The sequence below is a fragment of the Homo sapiens genome, chromosome 10 (assembly GCF_000001405.40).
Source record: "Homo sapiens chromosome 10, GRCh38.p14 Primary Assembly".
Classification (NCBI taxonomy): Eukaryota; Metazoa; Chordata; class Mammalia; order Primates; family Hominidae; genus Homo; species Homo sapiens.
In genome coordinates this window covers 103,679,392-103,696,979 of record NC_000010.11, presented here as the reverse complement: position 1 = coordinate 103,696,979, position 17,588 = coordinate 103,679,392, and the positions used below count along the sequence as shown (strand labels likewise).

Below are 17,588 nucleotides of genomic sequence, written 5' to 3'. Positions count from 1 at the left end.
TGGGGAGGGATGGAGTGCTGGTTGGAGGAACTCCACCCCTCTTTCCCAGCCAGGCCAGACCTGTGGACCACAGGAGATCACCCATCCCAGTTTGTCCAGTTTGAGCCCTGAAAGTCCCATGTCCCTGTTTTCCTGGGACTGTGGGTCACTGTACCTGTGGTTTGAGTCACCCCTGGACCAGCTGCAGAGAATGAATGGCTGAGTGGTCTGATGGGAGCTGTTTTAGGACACAGCTTGGGAGGCCTTTTCAATTACATTAGCCTCTGGCAACGCTAGAGGGAGATGCTAGCCCCGCCCTTCCTCCCCTCCTCTTCTTCCTGTGGCTCCCTGGCCGATATGATTCAGCAGCAAGTCGGAAGCAGGCTAGACTGTGACCTACCAGGAGTGGAGTCACCGGCAGGGTGGGGGCTGTCAGCACCAGCTCAGGGCAAGACTTGGAGCAAGGACGGAGTGTGGATTGGAGAAGGGGACTGATGGGAAGAGGGGGGGTTCTTGAGTTGTTAGGGAACTGAGCCCCAGCAGAGGGCCCTGCTGTCCTGCCAGACTGGAACTGGTTATAGGGCAGTGGGAAGTGGTCATGGTGTGAAGGGGGATCCCTGCCTTTGCGTCTTGCCCTCGTATGTGAGGGATGGGAGAGTCCCAGCCACTGGATACCTAAACTGCTTATCACCCTATTCAGCAGCTAAAAATATGAAATGGCTTTGCTAAAGGATGCCCAACTGGAAACTTCCAGAAGGTCTCCTATTAGGGCAGCGCCTGCTCGGGCAGGCCAGACACCCTGAAGGATTCAGGATTCCTCTTCGTTCCCACCATTCAGTCACAGCCTGGTGACCCCCACTGCCAGGACCTCAGCCTCCACCCCATTAACCCCATGTGCTGATCAGGCCCTCTGGGCTCTGCCTTCTACTCCTGCATCCACTACTCCAGGAAGGGGTGGTAAGTGGGCATTTGTCTTGAGCCTCAGAGCAAGGCCTGGGTTTTCTGGTCCCCAGTCCTGGTCTCACCCACTCACTATGGCCTTGAGGAAGTTGTCCGGCTTCTCTAAGCTTTGGTCTTCTCACCTGCAAGAGGAGAGCCCACACCCCCTGCAGGGAGGGACCCGGAAGTCCTCGGTGGGGAGGACTCTGAACTCTGGCTGAAGGACAGGCAGGCCAAGAGATATTTTCTAGAGGCTCCTTCAGCACTACAAGCACGTTGTTCTTACTGAGCATAAATGTTTCTTAGGGGTGGCTGGAGGCCTGATGGAGATTATGCAACACTGGAGCAGCCTCAGAATCCCCAGGGGAGTTTGTTGGAGATGCAGACCATGCAGTAGGTTGGGGTGGGGCCCTGCATCTGAATTTTAACCACTTTCTAGATGATTCCATTGAATAGCAGGCTGAGAATCACCAACCAGGGCCTGGCACAAAGGAGGCCCTCCAAGCATGTGAGTTTTGTGTCTTCCCCACTCTTTTTTTTTTTTTTTTCTTTTTGAGACAGAGTCTCACTTGTCACTCAGGCTGGAGTGCAGTGGCACCACCACAGCCCACTGCAGTCTTGACCTCCTGGGCTTCAAGCAATCCTCCCACCTCAGCCTCCCTTGTGGCTGGGAGTACAAGTGCTTGCTACCATGCCTAGCTAATTTATTTTTGGTAGAGATAGGGGGTCTCACTATGTTGCCTAGGCTGGTCTCAAACTCCCTGTCTCATAGGAACAGCCTGGGTAGCCTCAACCTGCTCAGAGCTGGAGAAGGCAGCCATTCCTGTGAGGCAGCCACCCCTGCCTGGGCTACTGGCAGCCAGGGGGATGGTCAGTGGGCCATCAGTCCTGGGCTTCTCCTGCCAGGACCAGCAGGAAAATTGTGGGACAGCAGAGGGTAGCTCCTCAGTGCCCTCACTCCCTGCCCTTCCCCAGTAGCCCTCAGTGAAAAGGCCTGAAAAGCTAATTTCCTCCTTGGGAGTGGAAAGTCTTCTGGGCAGGACACAGCTACGATCTAATACTCTCCTCCTCCTCTCAGGAATTCCCTGCACAGTTGAGCTTTTGGGGGGCACAGCTAGGACTCAGTCTCTGCCCAGTCTTCCTTCTGCAAGGGGGGCAAGCATGCCTTTGTTAAGGCCTTCCCTGGACTGACTGGTGGGAGCCAGGGGAGGGGGCAAATGGAAGCTCTCCCACCTTTCTGTAGTCCCTTTCCAAGGCAACGGTTTCCCAGATTCTCCTCCACACCATCCACGCTGCAGTTTTTATTCCTTCCAGTGGGCTTATAAACCACAGCCCTTCCCCAGATTGGGCAACCTTCGGCAATGGCTGAACCTCTGTTTCCTAATCTATAAAATGGATTAGGATGATAGGACCTTCCTCTTAGTGTGGGTGAGAGGATTGAAGGAGACATGGAATACCAAGGGGGTTCTCAAACAAGATGGGGAAGGAAGGGGAGAGAGTCAGAAATGCAGATTTCCTGGACCTTGCCCCCAGCATTCTGATTAAGTGGGTTCTAAGTTTTGGGAAAGGTCGATGCCTAGGAGAGGGGGAGCTCCCCACTCCTGGCTGTGCAGGCAAATCACCTTGGAGATTAATAAACACTCCAATGTTGGAGGGCACCCCTAGACCTCCTGGATTGGAATCTTGGGGAGCCTCCATGAGGATGACTCTGCTCCTTTCCCTGGGAGCCTGCTGCCTCTTCCTCCAAGAGAACCCCCTTCCACCGCATCCCCCCAAACCCCCAACCCCGCCTTTCCAGTGGCAGACTAGCGGGCTAGTTTGCTTCGACCAAAGATGGGCAGCAACTGGCATTTTCTTTGGCCCCTGGGGAAAATGGAAGGCATTTCCTTCGGACTCCGGAGAGAGCCCCAGCCAGCCCCTCCACTGTTCCCTGAGCACTGAACAGAACTTTCAGCCTTTAGGGGCATGTGAGGCTCAGGTTAAGGGAGCCAGCTCACCTTTCCCAGTCCCCTGAGGATTGGTGAATGGAGGGGGGTGGGAGGAGTGGGGAGATAAGGAAGGCAGGAGCAAGGGCAGGATTTGGGAAATCTGCCCATCTTTGAGTCTGGACTCTTTGCTGGAGGGCAGGGCAGGTAAACGGAGGCTGGGAGGGTGCAGTGCCTAAGGTCACAGCAGTTACTTTCTCTGACAGCATTTGAACCCACTTCCTCAGAAGCTCCACTTCCGTTCCTACCGTTCCTGGCCTCCCAGTTAACCTTGCAGTATCCTCTGTCCCCCCCACTACCCGCTCCTCACCCCGACTCCCCAGCTGTAGCCTTTGAGAAGGACCTTATCCATGGCCTCTGCCATTCTCGGGGCGTGCAGTGAGAGGAAGCAGCCACAGTGGCCCCCAGCGAGTCTCGGGTCTAGGACAGGGGCAGACTTTAATCAAAGGATCACACAAATCTGTGATTACCTGGCGGGTGGTTTTGAGGAAGACACGTTGAGGAGGTGACATTTCAGTAGTGACTTACGGGCTGAGTAGGCTGGGTTCACCTCCCAATTCTTTGCATCGCTAGGGCAAGCCATGCAAAGAATTGGGAGGTGAACCGCTCCGGTGGCGGGGAGAGCGGGCTCCCAGCGCTGGGTAGGGGCCGGGTTCCGGCGAGCGCCATCCCGGAGCGTCAGTTTCCCAGTTTGGGAAGTGAGGAGAACCTGCCTCGCCCTTCCCCGCCAAGGCTTAGGGAAGGTGAGCCCCAGTTAGCGGGGCGGGCTGGGGCGGGGCGGGGCGGGGCGGGCGAATCGCGCCTGGGGGCCGGGCTGGCAGGGGGCCCGCGGGCGGGCGGGCGGGCGGGCGCGGCGCGCAGTGCGTGCGGCTGCGGAGCGCGCGGCTAGCCGGCCGTGGGCATCACATGAGCAGCGGCACCGGGGACCGACCGCAGCCAGCCCGAGGGCGCCCCTGCAGCTGCAGCCCCGCGCTCGCGCCCGGCCCTAACCATGTCTATCTGTTGTTGCTTCTTTTTCAGGGACTATGGCAGTTCCAAGAGGAAATCAGGTAAGGGAGCCTCCGGGCGTTTTCCCTTCAGCCTTCCTTCCCGCTTCGTGCACGCGCCCCTCCGATCCTGCAGAGGACTTCTTGGGGGCGGGGAGGGGGGGGTTGTCCTTGCACGCCAGCCTACGGGTCCTGCCGGGCCAGGGGTACTCGCTTCACTTGCCCCTCCTCAGTCCATGGCCCCTGAGACCCTTGGTCCTAGAACCCTCGTTCGCCTTCCACCGACTCGCTCGGGCTCCCGCTACCTCGCTGTCCCTAGTGGGTGTGGGGGTGGGTGCATGGGGAGTGCGTGGGTGGCTCGTGAAGGGGCTAGGCCCCCGCACGGTGAGCAGCCGGGTCCTTCACCCCCGGGCTGCGGCGGCCGCTGCTGCGCAGTGCTAAGACTTCTCCGGTCCCTCTCGCGGTGCAGCGGTGATGGAAGGGTTAATAGAGACGCGGGGCTTTCCTGCGAGAAGGTGAAATTGAGAACCGGGACTGAAAAGGGGTCATCCTTGAGTGACTTGAGTTTTTAGCGCCTGCACCACAGACCTTCTTCCCTGCCCCAACTCTGAGCGTGTCCTTGCTGCGGAGGTGGGGGCTCCGCGTTTTGGCAGCTGAGACGCACTTGGGAGGGGGCCGACCCGACCCCCCCAACCCCCTCCCCGCCCCCCGCATTGGCCTGACAGGTGCCAGGGCCCGCCCAGAGTTTGGAAGGGGGTGGAGGCAGGGAGAGAGGCGGGCCAGCCCTCGGAGCTGTGGGCTGAGGGTAGAGCAGGATTGTCTCTGGAAGTGGGAGGCTGGGCTCCCCAAATGGCAAACGCCTGGATGTGGGCGGGCTGTAGTTAACTGGGGGAGAGTGGTCCCTAGGAGTTAGGGCTGTGTGTGTGCTGAAGTGGGGGCGGGGACAGACTGCTGCAGCGATCCGTGCTGACACGTGGATTGGCCATATTGACAGGGTGGCTGTACCTTGGGGTACATCTGGCCCTTGGGGATGTAGGAGGTAACACGTGGCTCCTGTGAATGGCTCCTGTGCCCAAGTGCCTTGGCCTGTGGATAGGTTGAGGGGAGTGCCCCTGTGTGGTGGATGGATGTAGAGTGGGGTAGATGTAATTGTATGATATGTATGTTTCTGTGTGTACAAGTGCTTGCTCACGTGCCTATTGGGACAGGGAAAGTTGTGTCCTGGTTTATGTGTTGGGGGCGTGTGTGGCTGTGGGGTTCTGTGCACATGTGTGAGTCATGATAGCTGTGTGCTGTGAGGGTATGTTTACTTGTTTGGGTGCATAGGCTGGGGGTGTGTGTGTGGTTGAGATATATCTGGTTATGGGTTGGAGTCTGTGTTTGTGTGTATTTGTGTACCAGTTTGGGACATGTCTAGCTGTGGGATGAGGTGTGTGTGCACTTGCCTATCACCTGGGTCTGGGGTGTCTCAGGCAGGCACACCCACTGGTGCAGAAGGCCATTTCCTCCTGTGAACCGTGGGGTGAGCCTGGGGAAGAGCATTCCTCCACTGTCACTCCAGGCAGGTCTCAAGTGGGAGAATGGAAGGCGCAGCAAAATGGGGGTTGTGTTCTGTCACCGCCCACACAGGAAGCTTGCCCTGGGCCTCAGACGTATAGTGTCCTGGTTGAACCTGGGCTCAAATTCTGGCTCTGTGTGACCTTAGGCAAGTTTCATAACTTCTCTGTGCCTCAGTTTCCTCATTTTCTTTAAAACAAAAATGCTAATGTTATCTGCCTCACACATAGAGGATTAAGTATGTTAATGTGGAATAGTCCTGGCACCGAATAACTACTGTACAAGTATCAGTTCTCAGCAGCAGCAGCAGTAGCACTTTCTGAAGGCCTGGGACCTAGTCCTGCCTCCATTGCCACTTTTCTCCCTATGTGACCTTGGGCAAATTCCTTCTCTATGCTGGGCCTCAGTTACCCCCATAAAGGCAAGAGCTGGAACAAATAACCTCTCAGGTCCCCCGCCACAATCTCTGGGGCTCAGCTTCTGTGCTGCTTCCTAAGCAATGCAGGGCCACACCCAGGCTGCCTCCCCCAGGGAAAGCCAACCCCCAGTTTCTCTGTCTTCCACTCTCACGCCAGGAAAAGGATGGATGGAGAAATTTAATTTATATTGGTGTGCTTATGATAATGGCCACTTAGTGTCATGGTTGAAAATGCCAGCTCTGAAGCCAGACAGCTGGAGTTGAGAGTCTGGCTTCTCTCCTCTGTGACCTTGGGTAGATTTCTTAGCCTCTCTGTGCCCATTACTTCTTCTGTACATTTGGGATAATATTCATACCCATTTTGTGATGGTTTATTATGTGTCAACTTGGCTGGGCCACAGTGCCCAGATATTTGGTCAAGCATTATTCTAGATGTTTCTGCAAAGGTGTTTTCTAGGTGAGATTCATATTTAAATAAATCAGTGGATTTTGAGTAAAGCAGATTACTCTCCATAATGCAGGCTAGCCTCATCCAATTGGTTGAAGGCCTCTTAATGGAACAAAGACTGACACACACACACCCTCCCTCAGCAAGGAGGAGTTCTGCCAGCAGCTGCCTTTGGACTCAGCTGCAGCTCTTCCCTTAGTCTCTGCCGGCCTCCCCCATCACATTTTGGACTCTCAAACCTCCACAATCACATAAGCCAGTTCCTAAAATAAATCTCCCTCTGTCTTCAAGCTCTCTATGCACCTCCCATTGGTTCTGTTTCTCTGGAGAACACTGACTAATACACACCTCATATGGTTATAACGAAGATTAGATAAACTAATATATGTAAGCATGTTTAGAACACTGCCTGCCACCTAGAAAGCTCCCCTGGAAGTGCTAGATGCTGTTATCGAATGAGCATCTACTATGTGCGAGGACATTTTCACGTTTCCTCATTTGCTGATCAGAGCCACAGTACATGATGGGTGGTGGGATTCCCATTTTGCAAATGAGAAGCTGAGGCTCCGATGGGGTGACTGCCCACACACAGTCCTTGGCAAACTGAGGATTGGAGTCCATGTTTAGGGCTCTGTTCTGCTCTATAATGAACCTCACGAAGCTTCCCAGGGTCACTCCAGCCAGGGACATTTGCGCAGAGGAAATGGATGCCATTCTGGGGTTCACTGTAAATCTCTTACTGAGCATAGAGCTTAGACTTGAGGCAAGGCTTAGGGATGGTGGAGTCAACAGAAGAAGAAAGTTCTCAGGAACTTTCTGGAGGAAGCAAGGCTGGTGACCTTGAAAACTGAAGGACAGTTTGGCCTCAAATTTATCTGCATCTTTCTTCCCTCTATTGAACCTGCTCCTTCCAGCATCTTCCCCATCTCAGGAACTGGCACCATCCACCCCATTGCTCAAGCCCAACATCTAGAAGTCACTCGTTTTTTGTTTTTTGTTTCTTTGAGACAGATTCTCCCCTGTTGCCCAGGCTGGAGTGCAGTGGCATGACCTTAGCTCACTGCAACCTCCGCCTCCTGGGTTCAAGTGGTTCTCTTGCCTCAGCCTCCCGAGTAGCTGGGATTACAGGCACCTGCCACCACACCTGGCTAATTTTTGCAGTTTTAGTAGAGACAAGGTTTCACCATTTTGGCCAGGCTGGTCTCGAACTCCTGACCTTAAGTGATCCACCCATCTCAGCCTCCCAAAGTGCTGGGATGACAGGCGTGAGCTACTGTGCCTGGCTGAGAAGTCATTCTTGACTCTTGTCTTTTACCTGCCAACTCGAGCTGCAGAACCAACTGTCTCCCCACCTCCACCATCACATGCCTTAGAAACCCCTTCATCTCTCCAGGAAGACCCCACCTTCCTACCTGGTCTCACTGCTTCTCTATTAGACCTCTATCTGACATTCTCCACACCACAGCTAGAGTGAGCTCTTAAAAAATATTGATCAGCTGGGTGCAGTGGCTCACTCCTGTAATCCCAACACTTTGGGAGGCCAAGGCAAGAAGATCACTTGAGCCTAGGAGTTCGAGACCAGCCTGGGCAACAAAGCAAGATCCTCTCTCTACCAAAAAAATAAAAATAATAAATTAGCCGGATGTAGTGGTGCAGGCCTGTAGTCCCAGCTACTCAAGTGGCTAAGGTGGGAGGATCACTTGAACCCAGAAGTTTGAGGTTGCAGTGAGGCATAATTGTGCCACTGCACTACAGCCTGGGCAACAGAGAGAGACCCTATCTCTAAATAAATAAATAGGAAGGAAGGAGGGAGGGAGGGAAGAAGGGAAAGAAAGAAAGAAAATAACATACTTTCCTGCTTAAATTCCCCCAGGGACTCCATCCCACCCAGAACTAATTCCCTACCCTGGCTCACAGAGCTTGTGTGACTTGGCCCCTGGCTGCCTTCCTGACCTGGGCTTTACCCCTCTTGTCCCCGCCCATCACACTGCTCAGCCACACCAGTCACCTTCTGCTCCTTAAACGCATCAAACACATTCTTCTACGTGGCCTTTGTACTTGCTCTTCCCTCTTGCCTGTAATGTTCTTCCCTGATCTTTCACATGGCTGGCTCCTTAAGATTTCTGCTTAAAACTGTCACCTTCTTAGCGAAGCTGCCTGATCCTGCACTGTCCAGCCTCCCCCGCAGATTACTCCTCTTCTTCCCTCCTCATCGCTTCCCACACTCTAGTGATCCTGTGTGTTTGCTTGCTTCTTCTCTGTCTCCCACCACCTCAAGAGCAAAGACCTTGGCTGCAGGGCTTGCACCAGCCCCAGGGTCCACTGGTACTTTTTGAATGGGTGGGTGGATGGAAGAAAGCATGCATGAATGAGTGAACCTTGTGCAGGCTCAGGAAAGAAAGGTCATTGTGGCTTTAAATTGGGGATCATTGCCTGGAAAGAGGAGACATTTTTCTGGTTTGGGAGCAGAGAGCGGGAGGCTTTGGTAATCCAGAGAGAGCACATGCACAAAGGTAGAGGGATAGGACTAAGTGTGGCTTGTTGGGAGACTGACCTAACTGAGCATCAACTATGCCAAGCACTGCGCAAGGTGTCGAGGCTATAGGAACGTGCCTTTCTACCCTAGAGAAGTTTGCAGTCTGCTGTGGGTGATGAGCTATATAGAAGAATGTACTATTAGATGGAGGGAAGTGAGGGAGCAACATGGTTACCTGAGGAAGAGCAGTCCAGGCCAAGGGCACAGCAAGTGCAAAGGCCCTGGGGTGACGGTGTGTGCTGGCTGCTCATGATGCAGTAGGGAGGCCTGTGGCTGGGATGAAGAATAGTGGAGGGTAAAGTGGAAAGAGGTGAGAGCAGAGATGTAGCTGGCAGTGGGGAGGGAATAGGGTGAAGCAGCACCATGTAGGGCCTTGCAGGACATTCTAAGGATTTTGACTTTCATCGAGTGAGATGAAGATTCACTGAGGGGTTCTAAGTAGAGGCAGGGACATGATCTGGCTTCAATCATAGAATGATGGGGATTGACTAGGCAGGATGGGTTATGATGTGCAAGGTCGCAGGGGGCTGCTAGCCAGGTGAGATAGGATGTGGGCTCTGGCAGCAGTGGAGGGGGCAAGGCACTGCGGGTGTTGGACAGACTCTGATGATTGGATGTGGGCCTCAAGGGAGAGTTTGTGTGGGAGCTGGGAAACAACTGCATCAGGTTGCCTGGGGTCCCACTCTTAGGCCGACAACTTGCCAGTCATGTGACTTGGGCAAATCCCTTCGCCTCTGAGAACAGATTATCTCACCTGTTCTGTTGTATCAGCCAGGGTTCAACTAAAGGAACAGAACGAGTGGGAGGTATATATTAAGCGATGTAGTGTAAGGAACTAGCTTACACAATTGTGGGGGCTGGCTAGGTAAGTCTGAAATCCTATGGCAGGTCATGAAAGGGGGCAGGCTGGACCCCCAGGCCCAGGCTGGAGCTGCTGTCCGCAGATGAAATGTCTTCAGGGAAACCTTCACTCTGCTGAAGGCCTTTCAGCTACTGACTCAGGCCCACCCAGAGTGTTTTAGATAATTTCCCTTACTTAAAGTCATCCGGTCATGGTCTTTAATAACTATAAAAATACATTCCCAACCAGGCGCAGTGGCTCATGCCTGTAATCCCAGCACTTTGGGAGACCGAGGCAGGTGGATCACCTGAGGTCAGGAGTTTGAGACCAGCCTGGCCAACATGGCAAAACCCCGTCTCTACTAAAAATACAAAAAATTAGCTGGACGTGGTGGCGGGTGCTTGTAATCCCAGCTACTGAGGAGGCTGAGGCAGGGAGAATCTTGAACCCAGGAGGTGGAGGTTGCAGTGAGCCGAGATCATGCCATTGCACTCCAGCTTGGGCAACAGAGCGAGGCTCTGTCTCAAAAAAAAAAAAAAAAAAAATTCCCCAGCAACACCTAAATTAGTGTGTGATTGCATAACTGGGGACAGTAGCTTAGCCAGGTTGATGTGTACCACCTGACCATCATACCTGTCAAATGGGGTTGTTATAGTAGCAGCGACCTGGCTTGCCCCAAAGTGCACAGGGTTCAAGGAGGTGATGCCCTTTGAGGGGTTTTGTGCTGTGCCTGGCAGTAGGAAGGGCCTGTTGTTGTTAGCTGTTGTTGCTTCCCCAAGGTGGGCACTGCTCCAGGAGCCCCAGTGGGGCTGGAGCAGACTCCCCAGAGCAAGGGGTTCTCTTGAGACCTGCAAAGATCTCATGCCTCTCACCCAGTTCTCTAAAAAGCTGCATTTCGCCAGGGCACCTAGCCGGGAAGTTCTGAGATGCGCCACTAGGGGGCACAGGTGGCCACGGAGCCTCGGGATTGTCAGGGCCCTGGGGCTGTTGTCAGGAGAGCCTGAGGGTTCATCCAACCCAGGAGTCCTGTGGAAGCTCCAGCTCGTTTACATGCAGATGAGGTTGCTCAAGAGTGTTGTTACAAGCTTGTTCTCTTAGGCAAGTGTTGATGTTCCTCATGAAATCCTGTTTACTTTATTCTTCTCCTTGGAAAAGTGGTGAGCTCAGCCCCACTTCTATCTCAGTGATCATAAAACTGTATTATTAGCTGAGTTCATGAGATCAGCATTAATGTAGTTTCACTGCAGAGAAGCAGTGTTGCCTGGGGTTGACAGTTTAGGTTTTGGCAACAGGAAGACAGGGTTTGAACCCCAGCTCTGCCATTTGTTATTGCCGTTTTAATTATTGATAGATTAAGAAAGAAGGGGAGAAGTTGGTCTTTGAGTTGAGACATTTATTTCCATTCTGTGAGACCCAGGAGGGGACGACAGGGCGTAGACTCAGCCATTGCTGAGTATTCCGTTGAGTTAAAAACGTGGACTCTGGAGCCAGAATGCTTAGTTTCATGTCCCGGCTCTGCCTGCTGTGTGATCTTGGGCAAGTCCTTCTCTATGGCTCATTTCTTCACCTGTAAAATAGGGATAATCAGGTTTTTTTCATGGGGTTGAGGATTGAGTGAAAGTTCCTGAAGTGATAACTCCAGCACCGTGCCTGGCCTAGAGGAAGCACTAAGGGTGAAGCAGCTTTTACTATGAATAGGAGGCAGCACCGGAGGGGTTCGTCTCAAACAGGAGAGAGCGCTGGTTTCAGCTTTTGCCCTTTCTCCGGAGTGACTCCTCAATCAGACAGGGGGAAGGTGGGGTGTCCACTATCTCATCATTGCCAGGAGCCTCCCTGCAACAACCAGGGTAGGTGGTCTTGTCCCATTTTATAGACCAGGAAAGGGAAGTTAAGGAACTTGCCCCAGGTCAGCCAGACACAGGATTCTCTTTTTTTTTTTTTTTTTTTTTTTTTGAGACAGAGTTTTGCTGTTTGCCTGGGCTGGAGTGCAGTGGCACAATCTCAGCTCACTGCAACCTCCACCTCCTGGGTTCAAGTGATTCTCCTGCCTCAGCCTCCCAAGTAGATGGAATTATAGGCGTCCGCCACCATGCCCAGCTAATTTTTTGTATTTTTAGTAGAGATGGGATTTCACCATGTTGGCTAGGCTGGTCTTGAACTCCTGACCCCAGGTGATCCACCCACCTTGGCCTCCCAAAGTGCTGGGATTACAGGTGTGAACCACCATGACTGGCCTTTTTTTTGTTTTTGTTTTTGTTTTTGCTTTTTTGAGACAGGGCCCCAGGCTCTGTCGTTCAGACTGGAGTGTGGTGGCACAACCACAGCTCACTGCAGACTTGACCTCCTGGCTTCAAGCAATCCTCTCACCTCAGCCTTCTGAGTAGTTGGGACTACAGACATGCACCACCACGTCCAGTTAGTTTTTGTAGAGACAGGGTCTCGCTATGTTGCCCAGGGTGGTCTTGAACTCCTAGGATCAAGTGACTATCCTGCCTCGGCCTCCCAAAGTGCTGGGATTACAGGTGTGAACCGCAGCACACAGCCTAATTTTCCTTTTTATGAGTTTGGTTTTTAATAAAGTGAATTTGCTTAGAGCAAGACCCGCCCATAAGTTCTGGCCACTATTAAGGGTTAGTCTATGGCCGGGCGTGGTGGCTCGCTCCTGTAATCCTAGCACTTTGGAAGACCGAGGCAGTTGGATCTCCTGAGATCAGGAGTTCAAGACCGACATGATGAAACCTCGTCTCTACTAAAAATACGAAAAATTAGCCGGATGTGGTGGCCCGCACCTGTAATCCCAGCTACTCGGGAGGCTGAGGCAGGAGAATCACTTGAACCCAGGGGGCGGAGTTTGCAGTGAGCCAAGATGGTGCCACTGCACTCCAGCCTGGGTGACAGAGTGAGATTCCGTCTCAAAAAAAAAAAGGGTTAGTCTACCTGAAAAAGTTCCTCTATTCTCCTCCTTTTATAGAGGAAGCTTTTAAGAGAGGGATGGCCACTTGCCCAGGGTATGGGGTGGGCAGAACCTGGTCTTCTGCTGGTCAGCACTCCCACCAAGCCCTGGAACCAGGTGGAAGTGTGAGGAGGGCTGTCAGGTGGAAGTGTGAGGAGGGCTGTCCTGAAGCACAGGAAGCCGGTCTGTGAGGTCTCTGGTACCTCCCTTCCCCGCAAGGTAAATACCTCAGCAGGGCACTAGCAGAGCTGGGCTCTCTGGCCCTCCCTGGGCCTGCCCTGCCCAACCAGCAGCAGAGGGAGATGGAGGGAGACGAGGCAGTGGCAGCAGGCCTCCTCCCTCCAGAGCGCAGGCTTTGTGAGGCTTTCACTTCTCTTAATAGTTTGTTGGCTCCTGGCCCCATGGAGTGCACAGCTCAACTGAGAAGGTGGGACCTTTTCAGGGATTCATTAATACTAGGCAGGATGGCTTGGGATCTGCAAGGTGGAAGGAGGGGTGGCTGGCCATTGTGGGAGAGGCTGGAGATGGCCCTGAAGGACAGAGGAGATTGTGATGGGCTGAAGGGTGTGGGTAGGGCACCCTGCAGGAGGGACAGCCAGGCATGAGTAAGGATGTGGAGCTGGAATGAGTTTTTGCTTTTTTGTTGTTGTTGTGGGTTTTTCTGGTGTTAATTTTTAACATGGGGTCTTACTTAATGGCCCAGGCTGGAGTGCAGTGGTGCGATCAGGGCTCACTGTGGCCTTAAATTCCTGGGCTCAAGCGATCTTCCCACCTCATCCTCCCAAGTAGGTGGAACCACTGGTGTGCCACCATGCCTGGCTTATTTATTTATGTAGGAGACAGTCTTGCTCTGTCACCCAGGCTAGAGTGCAGTAGCCCAATCTCGATTTACTGCAACCTCCGCTTCTCAGCTCTCGTGCCTCAGCCTCCCAAGTAGCTGGGACTACAGGCACCCGCCACCATGCCTGGCTAATTTTTTTGTATTTTAGTAGAGATGGGGTTTCTCTGTGTTGCCCAGGGTCGTCTTGAACTCCTGAGCTCAGGCAGTCCACCCGCCTCAGCCTCCCAGAATGCTAGGATTACAGGTGTGAGCCACCATTTCTAGCCTTTATTTTTTATTACTGATTTGTTTATTTATTTGGTAGAAACAGGGTCTCGCTTTGTTGCCCAGGCTGGTGTTGAATTCCAGGCCTCAAGTGATCCTCCTGCCTCAGCCTCCTAAAGTGTTGGGATTACAGACGTGAGCCACCACACCTGGCCTGGCATGAGCTTGAAAAGTCTGAGGGAAGGAGAGGGGCCCATCATCCCGGCAGGAGCGAGGGTAGAGCAGGAGATGAGTCTGGAAAGGAAGTCATGGAGAGTGTATCATAAGCAAGACCTTTTAAAGCAATTTCCGAGGCGTTCTTGTCCTCCTGAGCTACCCATCCTCAGTGAGAAAGGCCCAGGCTACTTAGAGAATGTGGCAAAGATCTTCCTGCCACCCTCCAATGGCCCATTTCAAAAGTGAGCGTGTCTTTTGAAGGCGTCAGCTTCTGGCACATCTTACCCAGGCTCGTGGTTTGTTTTGTTTTTTTTTTTTTTGAGACGGAATCTGGCTCTGTTGCCCAGGCCGGAGTGCAATGGCACGATCTCGGCTCACTGCAACCTCTGCCTCCCAGGTTCAAGCAATTCTCCTGCCTCCGCCTCCTGAATAGCTGGGATTACAGATGCATGCCACCATGCCTGGCTAATTTTTTGTATTTTTAGTAGAGATGGGATTTCACCATGTTGGCCAAGCTGGTCTTGAACTCCTGACCTTGTGATCCACCCTCTTCGGCCTCTCAAAGTGCTGCGATTACAGGCATGAGCCACCGCAGCCAGCCTCTGGGCTGGTGTTTTTAAACAGTTTTTATTTGCATGGCTCTGGGTCCTCAGCCTGATTTTACCCTTGGAGTTCAAAGCCATCTAATTGGAAATGAAAGGAGCCTGATTGATTTGGCAACTCTGCGGCCAGCCCACGTGGCGGTGATGCGATGGAGAAAGTGAGTGCTGCTCACGTGTGTGTCTGCGCCACGCTCCCTGGCTCGAGGTGGCTGAGCCCCACTGCCCAATTGGCCTGGACACACAGAGCAAGGCGGAGCGGGGAGGGGGCAGGGGCGTGGCAAGCGCTCCCCGGATCCTGGAATCCCCAGAAGGAGGCAGCTAGTTGGAAGCCTCAATTCCCTCAGCCCTGCTTGCACAGCTGCCTCTGCCCCCTCACTCCTATCACCCAGTTTCTCCTGCTAGGAAAATAGGAAGTTGGTCCAAAAGGGAACTGCATGGGCAAAAGTGAACTGCAGAATCTTGAGTCTGCTCATTGAAATACAGATTCCCAGGGCCTGCCCAGACCTACTGAATCAGCGTGTCTGGAGTGACGCCCAGGTATCTGCATTTTTTCATTTTCTTAAGAGACAGGGTTTCACCATATTGCCCAGGCTGGTCTCAAACTCCCAAGCTCCTCAAGCAGTCCACCCACCTCGGCCTCCCAAAGTGCTGGATTATAGATATGAGCCACCGCATCTGGCCGATCTGCATTTTGTGTGTGTGCGCGCGCGCGCGCGGGCGCGTGTGTGTGTGTGATGGAGTCTCACTCTGTCACCCAGGCTGGAGTGTGGTAGTGCGATCTTGGCTCACTGCAACCTCTGCCTCTTGGGTTCAAGTGATTCTCCCGCCTCAGCCTCCTGAGTAGCTGGGACTACAGGTACCCTCCACAACACCTGGCTAATTTTTGTATTTTTAGTAGAGACAGGGTTACACCATGTTGGCCAGGCAGATCCTCCTGCCTTGGCCCCCCAGAGTGCTGGGATTATAGGCGTGAGCCACTGCACCCAGCCAATCTGCATTTTTGACAGGCTTCCCAGGGCTTCTGAAATCAAGCTAGGGTTGCGTCTTTGATGGGTCATCCATGTGGGTTGATGGCCATGTTCAGGGTAGACAGGCAGCAAGATGGCAGGGGGATTGGCATCCCCAAGATGAATGGTGCCTGGATGATGCCTGGATGGGACTGCTCCTTGAAGAACATTCAGTTGTCTCCTGAGATGGGAGGGTGGGCTACGGGGGCAGGAATGGAGGACAGGACTCCCAAGTCTCTTACCCCTGAAACACAGCCCAGCATTTGGAGTCTTGGAGAATGGCTATCTGAGGGGCCTACCCAGCCCTGACCTGATGAGAGACACCATCTGCCTTTCATTTCCAGAAGGTTTTGTTGCTGGGGGAGGAAATACCCAAATTGTGGTCCAGCAAAGAAATGTTTCCCACCGTGGCCCACGGCCAGAAAGTCACTGGTTCCTCACTTCAGCGTTTGGTTTATAGACACGTGACAGAAGAGGCAACCTTTCCAGTGATGACAAAGCCGGCGGAAAAACAAAGACATGGGGGAAATGTGCATTACTTATTGTTTTAGCACCTTTTTCTAATCTAAAGTTACTTTTAGAAACAGAAAAGTGGTGTGTGTAACTTAGTCGGCACGTGGCATTTTTAGAATTGGTCTGTTTCGAAGTGTGAAAGAAAAAAATATTTTTTTCCTGAGTTTCCATAAAACTTAGAAGTTTACAGGAAAATCATGCTTTTCCCTGACTCTCTTCTTTCTGCCTTGCCCCCTGGATTTCATCATTGCCATGTGTGGCCCAAGCAGCCAGCTTGAAAATGTATTTTGTTATTTATTGTTAGAATAAAGTCTTGCACCAAGACAACTGGGTCATGTTAGAAAGTCCCTTTGCTTCCTTGTGCTCAGAAACAGAGTTTGCTGGGTGTGGTGGTTCACGCCTGTAATCCCAGCACTTTGGGAACCTGAGGTGGGAGGATCACTTGAGCCCAGGAGCTTGAGACCAGCCTGGGCAACCTAGTGAGACCCCTTCTCTACAAAAATAAAAAATTAGTCCAGTGTGGTGGCACACACCTGTGGTTTCAGCTACTCGGGAGGGCAAAGAAGGATTGTTGAGCCCAGGAGGTTAAAGCTGCAGTGAATGGTGATCGCACCACTGCACTCCAGCCTGGGCAATAGAGCAAGACCCTATCTCAAAATAAAACATAAAGAAGGCAGGCCGGGTGTGGTAGCTCACGCCTGTAATCCCAGCACTTTGGGAGGCCGAGTTGGGCGGATTACTTGAGGTCAGGAGTTTGAGACCAGCCTGGCCAACATGGTGAAACCCTGTCTCTACAAAAATACAAAAATTAGCTTGGTGTCGTGGTGGGCGCCTGTAATCCCAGTTACTCAGGAGGCTGAGGCAGGAGAATCACTTGAACCGGGGAGGCAGAGGTTGCAGTGAGCAGAGATGGCGCCATTGCACTCCAGCCTGGGTGACAGAGCGAGACTCTATCTCAAAAAATAAATAAATAAATAAAATAAAAGAGAAGGCAGAGCTGGCCATCTCTTCACCATCCTCCCCCTTGTCACTGCTTCTGGATCCCTGTGAGTAAGGGTGTCCTCAGCTCAGCCCTGGAGCACCTTAGGCTCTTTGAGTGTTGGAAGAGGATCAGGTCTGGGTACATAACTTCCCAGCTGGAGGGTCAGATCCTTGCTATGCTAAGCAGTGATGACAGGCTGGTGACAACAGACCAAACTAAGACTGTCTTTGTATGTTGGCAATGGCCCCCCCAGGGGGACCTTGCAAATATGCAGATTTTAACATCCCTCATTTCAGATCTGTCAGGGTGGGACAAGTTCTTCTGGCCTGTGAGCTCCTGCCATACACAGTCCTGGAGCCTGCTGGCTCTGAGTTGCTCATTTGCATTTGGCCACAGGGTTCTGGTCAGGGGAACTCCCCTCTCCCCCACCCTTCCTCCATGACTTGGCTCGCTCCTTCTGCTCCAAGCCCATGGCTCAGTGGACACTAGGCAGCTGTCTCCTGGGGCGCAGGGAGGGTACCCTTGAAGGCTAGTGGATAGGAAGCAAGTTTCTGAATGGACACTGGTACTAGGTCTTCCTT

At 52.9% G+C, this 17,588-nt stretch overlaps 1 protein-coding gene across 8 annotated transcripts in view, besides 13 other annotated features; it reads left to right on the top strand.

The window, feature by feature from the left end:
• Positions 1–17,588, top strand: part of SH3PXD2A (SH3 and PX domains 2A) — a 261,550-nt gene that overhangs the window by 158,597 nt on the left and 85,365 nt on the right. For 4 of the 8 annotated variants that reach the window (NM_001394021.1, NM_001394018.1, NM_001394019.1 and 1 more), the window contains exon 1: positions 3,808–3,952. In NM_001394021.1, coding sequence (NP_001380950.1) covers positions 3,895–3,952 — 58 coding nt within the window. In that variant the 5' untranslated portion in view covers positions 3,808–3,894. Of the gene's footprint in view, positions 1–3,501; positions 3,647–3,807; positions 3,953–17,588 lie in introns of those variants that run through there. The other 4 variants (NM_001394020.1, NM_001394022.1, NM_014631.3 and 1 more) reach the window with 2 other exon arrangements.
• Positions 270–414: an enhancer, noted in NCBI's record as "145 bp enhancer 292 fragment used in the MPRA reporter construct; PK_construct_3458". NCBI's record gives its function as "activates an SV40 promoter by MPRA in K562 cells {active_cell/tissue: K562}" and the evidence as "EXISTENCE:reporter gene assay evidence [ECO:0000049][PMID:23512712]".
• Positions 337–347: a transcriptional cis regulatory region, noted in NCBI's record as "NFE2L2 motif; enhancer activity is reduced when this motif is scrambled". NCBI's record gives its function as "necessary for full MPRA enhancer 292 activity {active_cell/tissue: K562}" and the evidence as "EXISTENCE:site-directed mutagenesis evidence [ECO:0005528][PMID:23512712]".
• Positions 524–1,270: an enhancer, noted in NCBI's record as "H3K27ac-H3K4me1 hESC enhancer chr10:105455468-105456214 (GRCh37/hg19 assembly coordinates)". NCBI's record gives its function as "activates a minimal SCP1, AML or CMV promoter by ChIP-STARR-seq in naive H9 embryonic stem cells {active_cell/tissue: H9 hESC(naive)}" and the evidence as "EXISTENCE:reporter gene assay evidence [ECO:0000049][PMID:30033119]".
• Positions 580–639: a silencer, noted in NCBI's record as "silent region_2788". NCBI's record gives its function as "represses an Ori minimal core promoter by ATAC-STARR-seq in GM12878 lymphoblastoid cells {active_cell/tissue: GM12878}" and the evidence as "EXISTENCE:reporter gene assay evidence [ECO:0000049][PMID:35858748]".
• Positions 850–959: an enhancer, noted in NCBI's record as "active region_3972". NCBI's record gives its function as "activates an Ori minimal core promoter by ATAC-STARR-seq in GM12878 lymphoblastoid cells {active_cell/tissue: GM12878}" and the evidence as "EXISTENCE:reporter gene assay evidence [ECO:0000049][PMID:35858748]".
• Positions 3,687–3,936: a silencer, noted in NCBI's record as "silent region_2787". NCBI's record gives its function as "represses an Ori minimal core promoter by ATAC-STARR-seq in GM12878 lymphoblastoid cells {active_cell/tissue: GM12878}" and the evidence as "EXISTENCE:reporter gene assay evidence [ECO:0000049][PMID:35858748]".
• Positions 3,687–4,786: a biological region, named in NCBI's record as "H3K4me1 hESC enhancer GRCh37_chr10:105451952-105452918".
• Positions 3,820–4,786: an enhancer, noted in NCBI's record as "H3K4me1 hESC enhancer chr10:105451952-105452918 (GRCh37/hg19 assembly coordinates)". NCBI's record gives its function as "activates a minimal SCP1, AML or CMV promoter by ChIP-STARR-seq in primed H9 embryonic stem cells {active_cell/tissue: H9 hESC(primed)}" and the evidence as "EXISTENCE:reporter gene assay evidence [ECO:0000049][PMID:30033119]".
• Positions 4,507–4,666: a silencer, noted in NCBI's record as "silent region_2786". NCBI's record gives its function as "represses an Ori minimal core promoter by ATAC-STARR-seq in GM12878 lymphoblastoid cells {active_cell/tissue: GM12878}" and the evidence as "EXISTENCE:reporter gene assay evidence [ECO:0000049][PMID:35858748]".
• Positions 5,027–5,086: an enhancer, noted in NCBI's record as "active region_3971". NCBI's record gives its function as "activates an Ori minimal core promoter by ATAC-STARR-seq in GM12878 lymphoblastoid cells {active_cell/tissue: GM12878}" and the evidence as "EXISTENCE:reporter gene assay evidence [ECO:0000049][PMID:35858748]".
• Positions 10,310–10,359: an enhancer, noted in NCBI's record as "active region_3970". NCBI's record gives its function as "activates an Ori minimal core promoter by ATAC-STARR-seq in GM12878 lymphoblastoid cells {active_cell/tissue: GM12878}" and the evidence as "EXISTENCE:reporter gene assay evidence [ECO:0000049][PMID:35858748]".
• Positions 12,990–13,059: an enhancer, noted in NCBI's record as "active region_3969". NCBI's record gives its function as "activates an Ori minimal core promoter by ATAC-STARR-seq in GM12878 lymphoblastoid cells {active_cell/tissue: GM12878}" and the evidence as "EXISTENCE:reporter gene assay evidence [ECO:0000049][PMID:35858748]".
• Positions 14,219–14,999: an enhancer, noted in NCBI's record as "H3K4me1 hESC enhancer chr10:105441739-105442519 (GRCh37/hg19 assembly coordinates)". NCBI's record gives its function as "activates a minimal SCP1, AML or CMV promoter by ChIP-STARR-seq in primed H9 embryonic stem cells {active_cell/tissue: H9 hESC(primed)}" and the evidence as "EXISTENCE:reporter gene assay evidence [ECO:0000049][PMID:30033119]".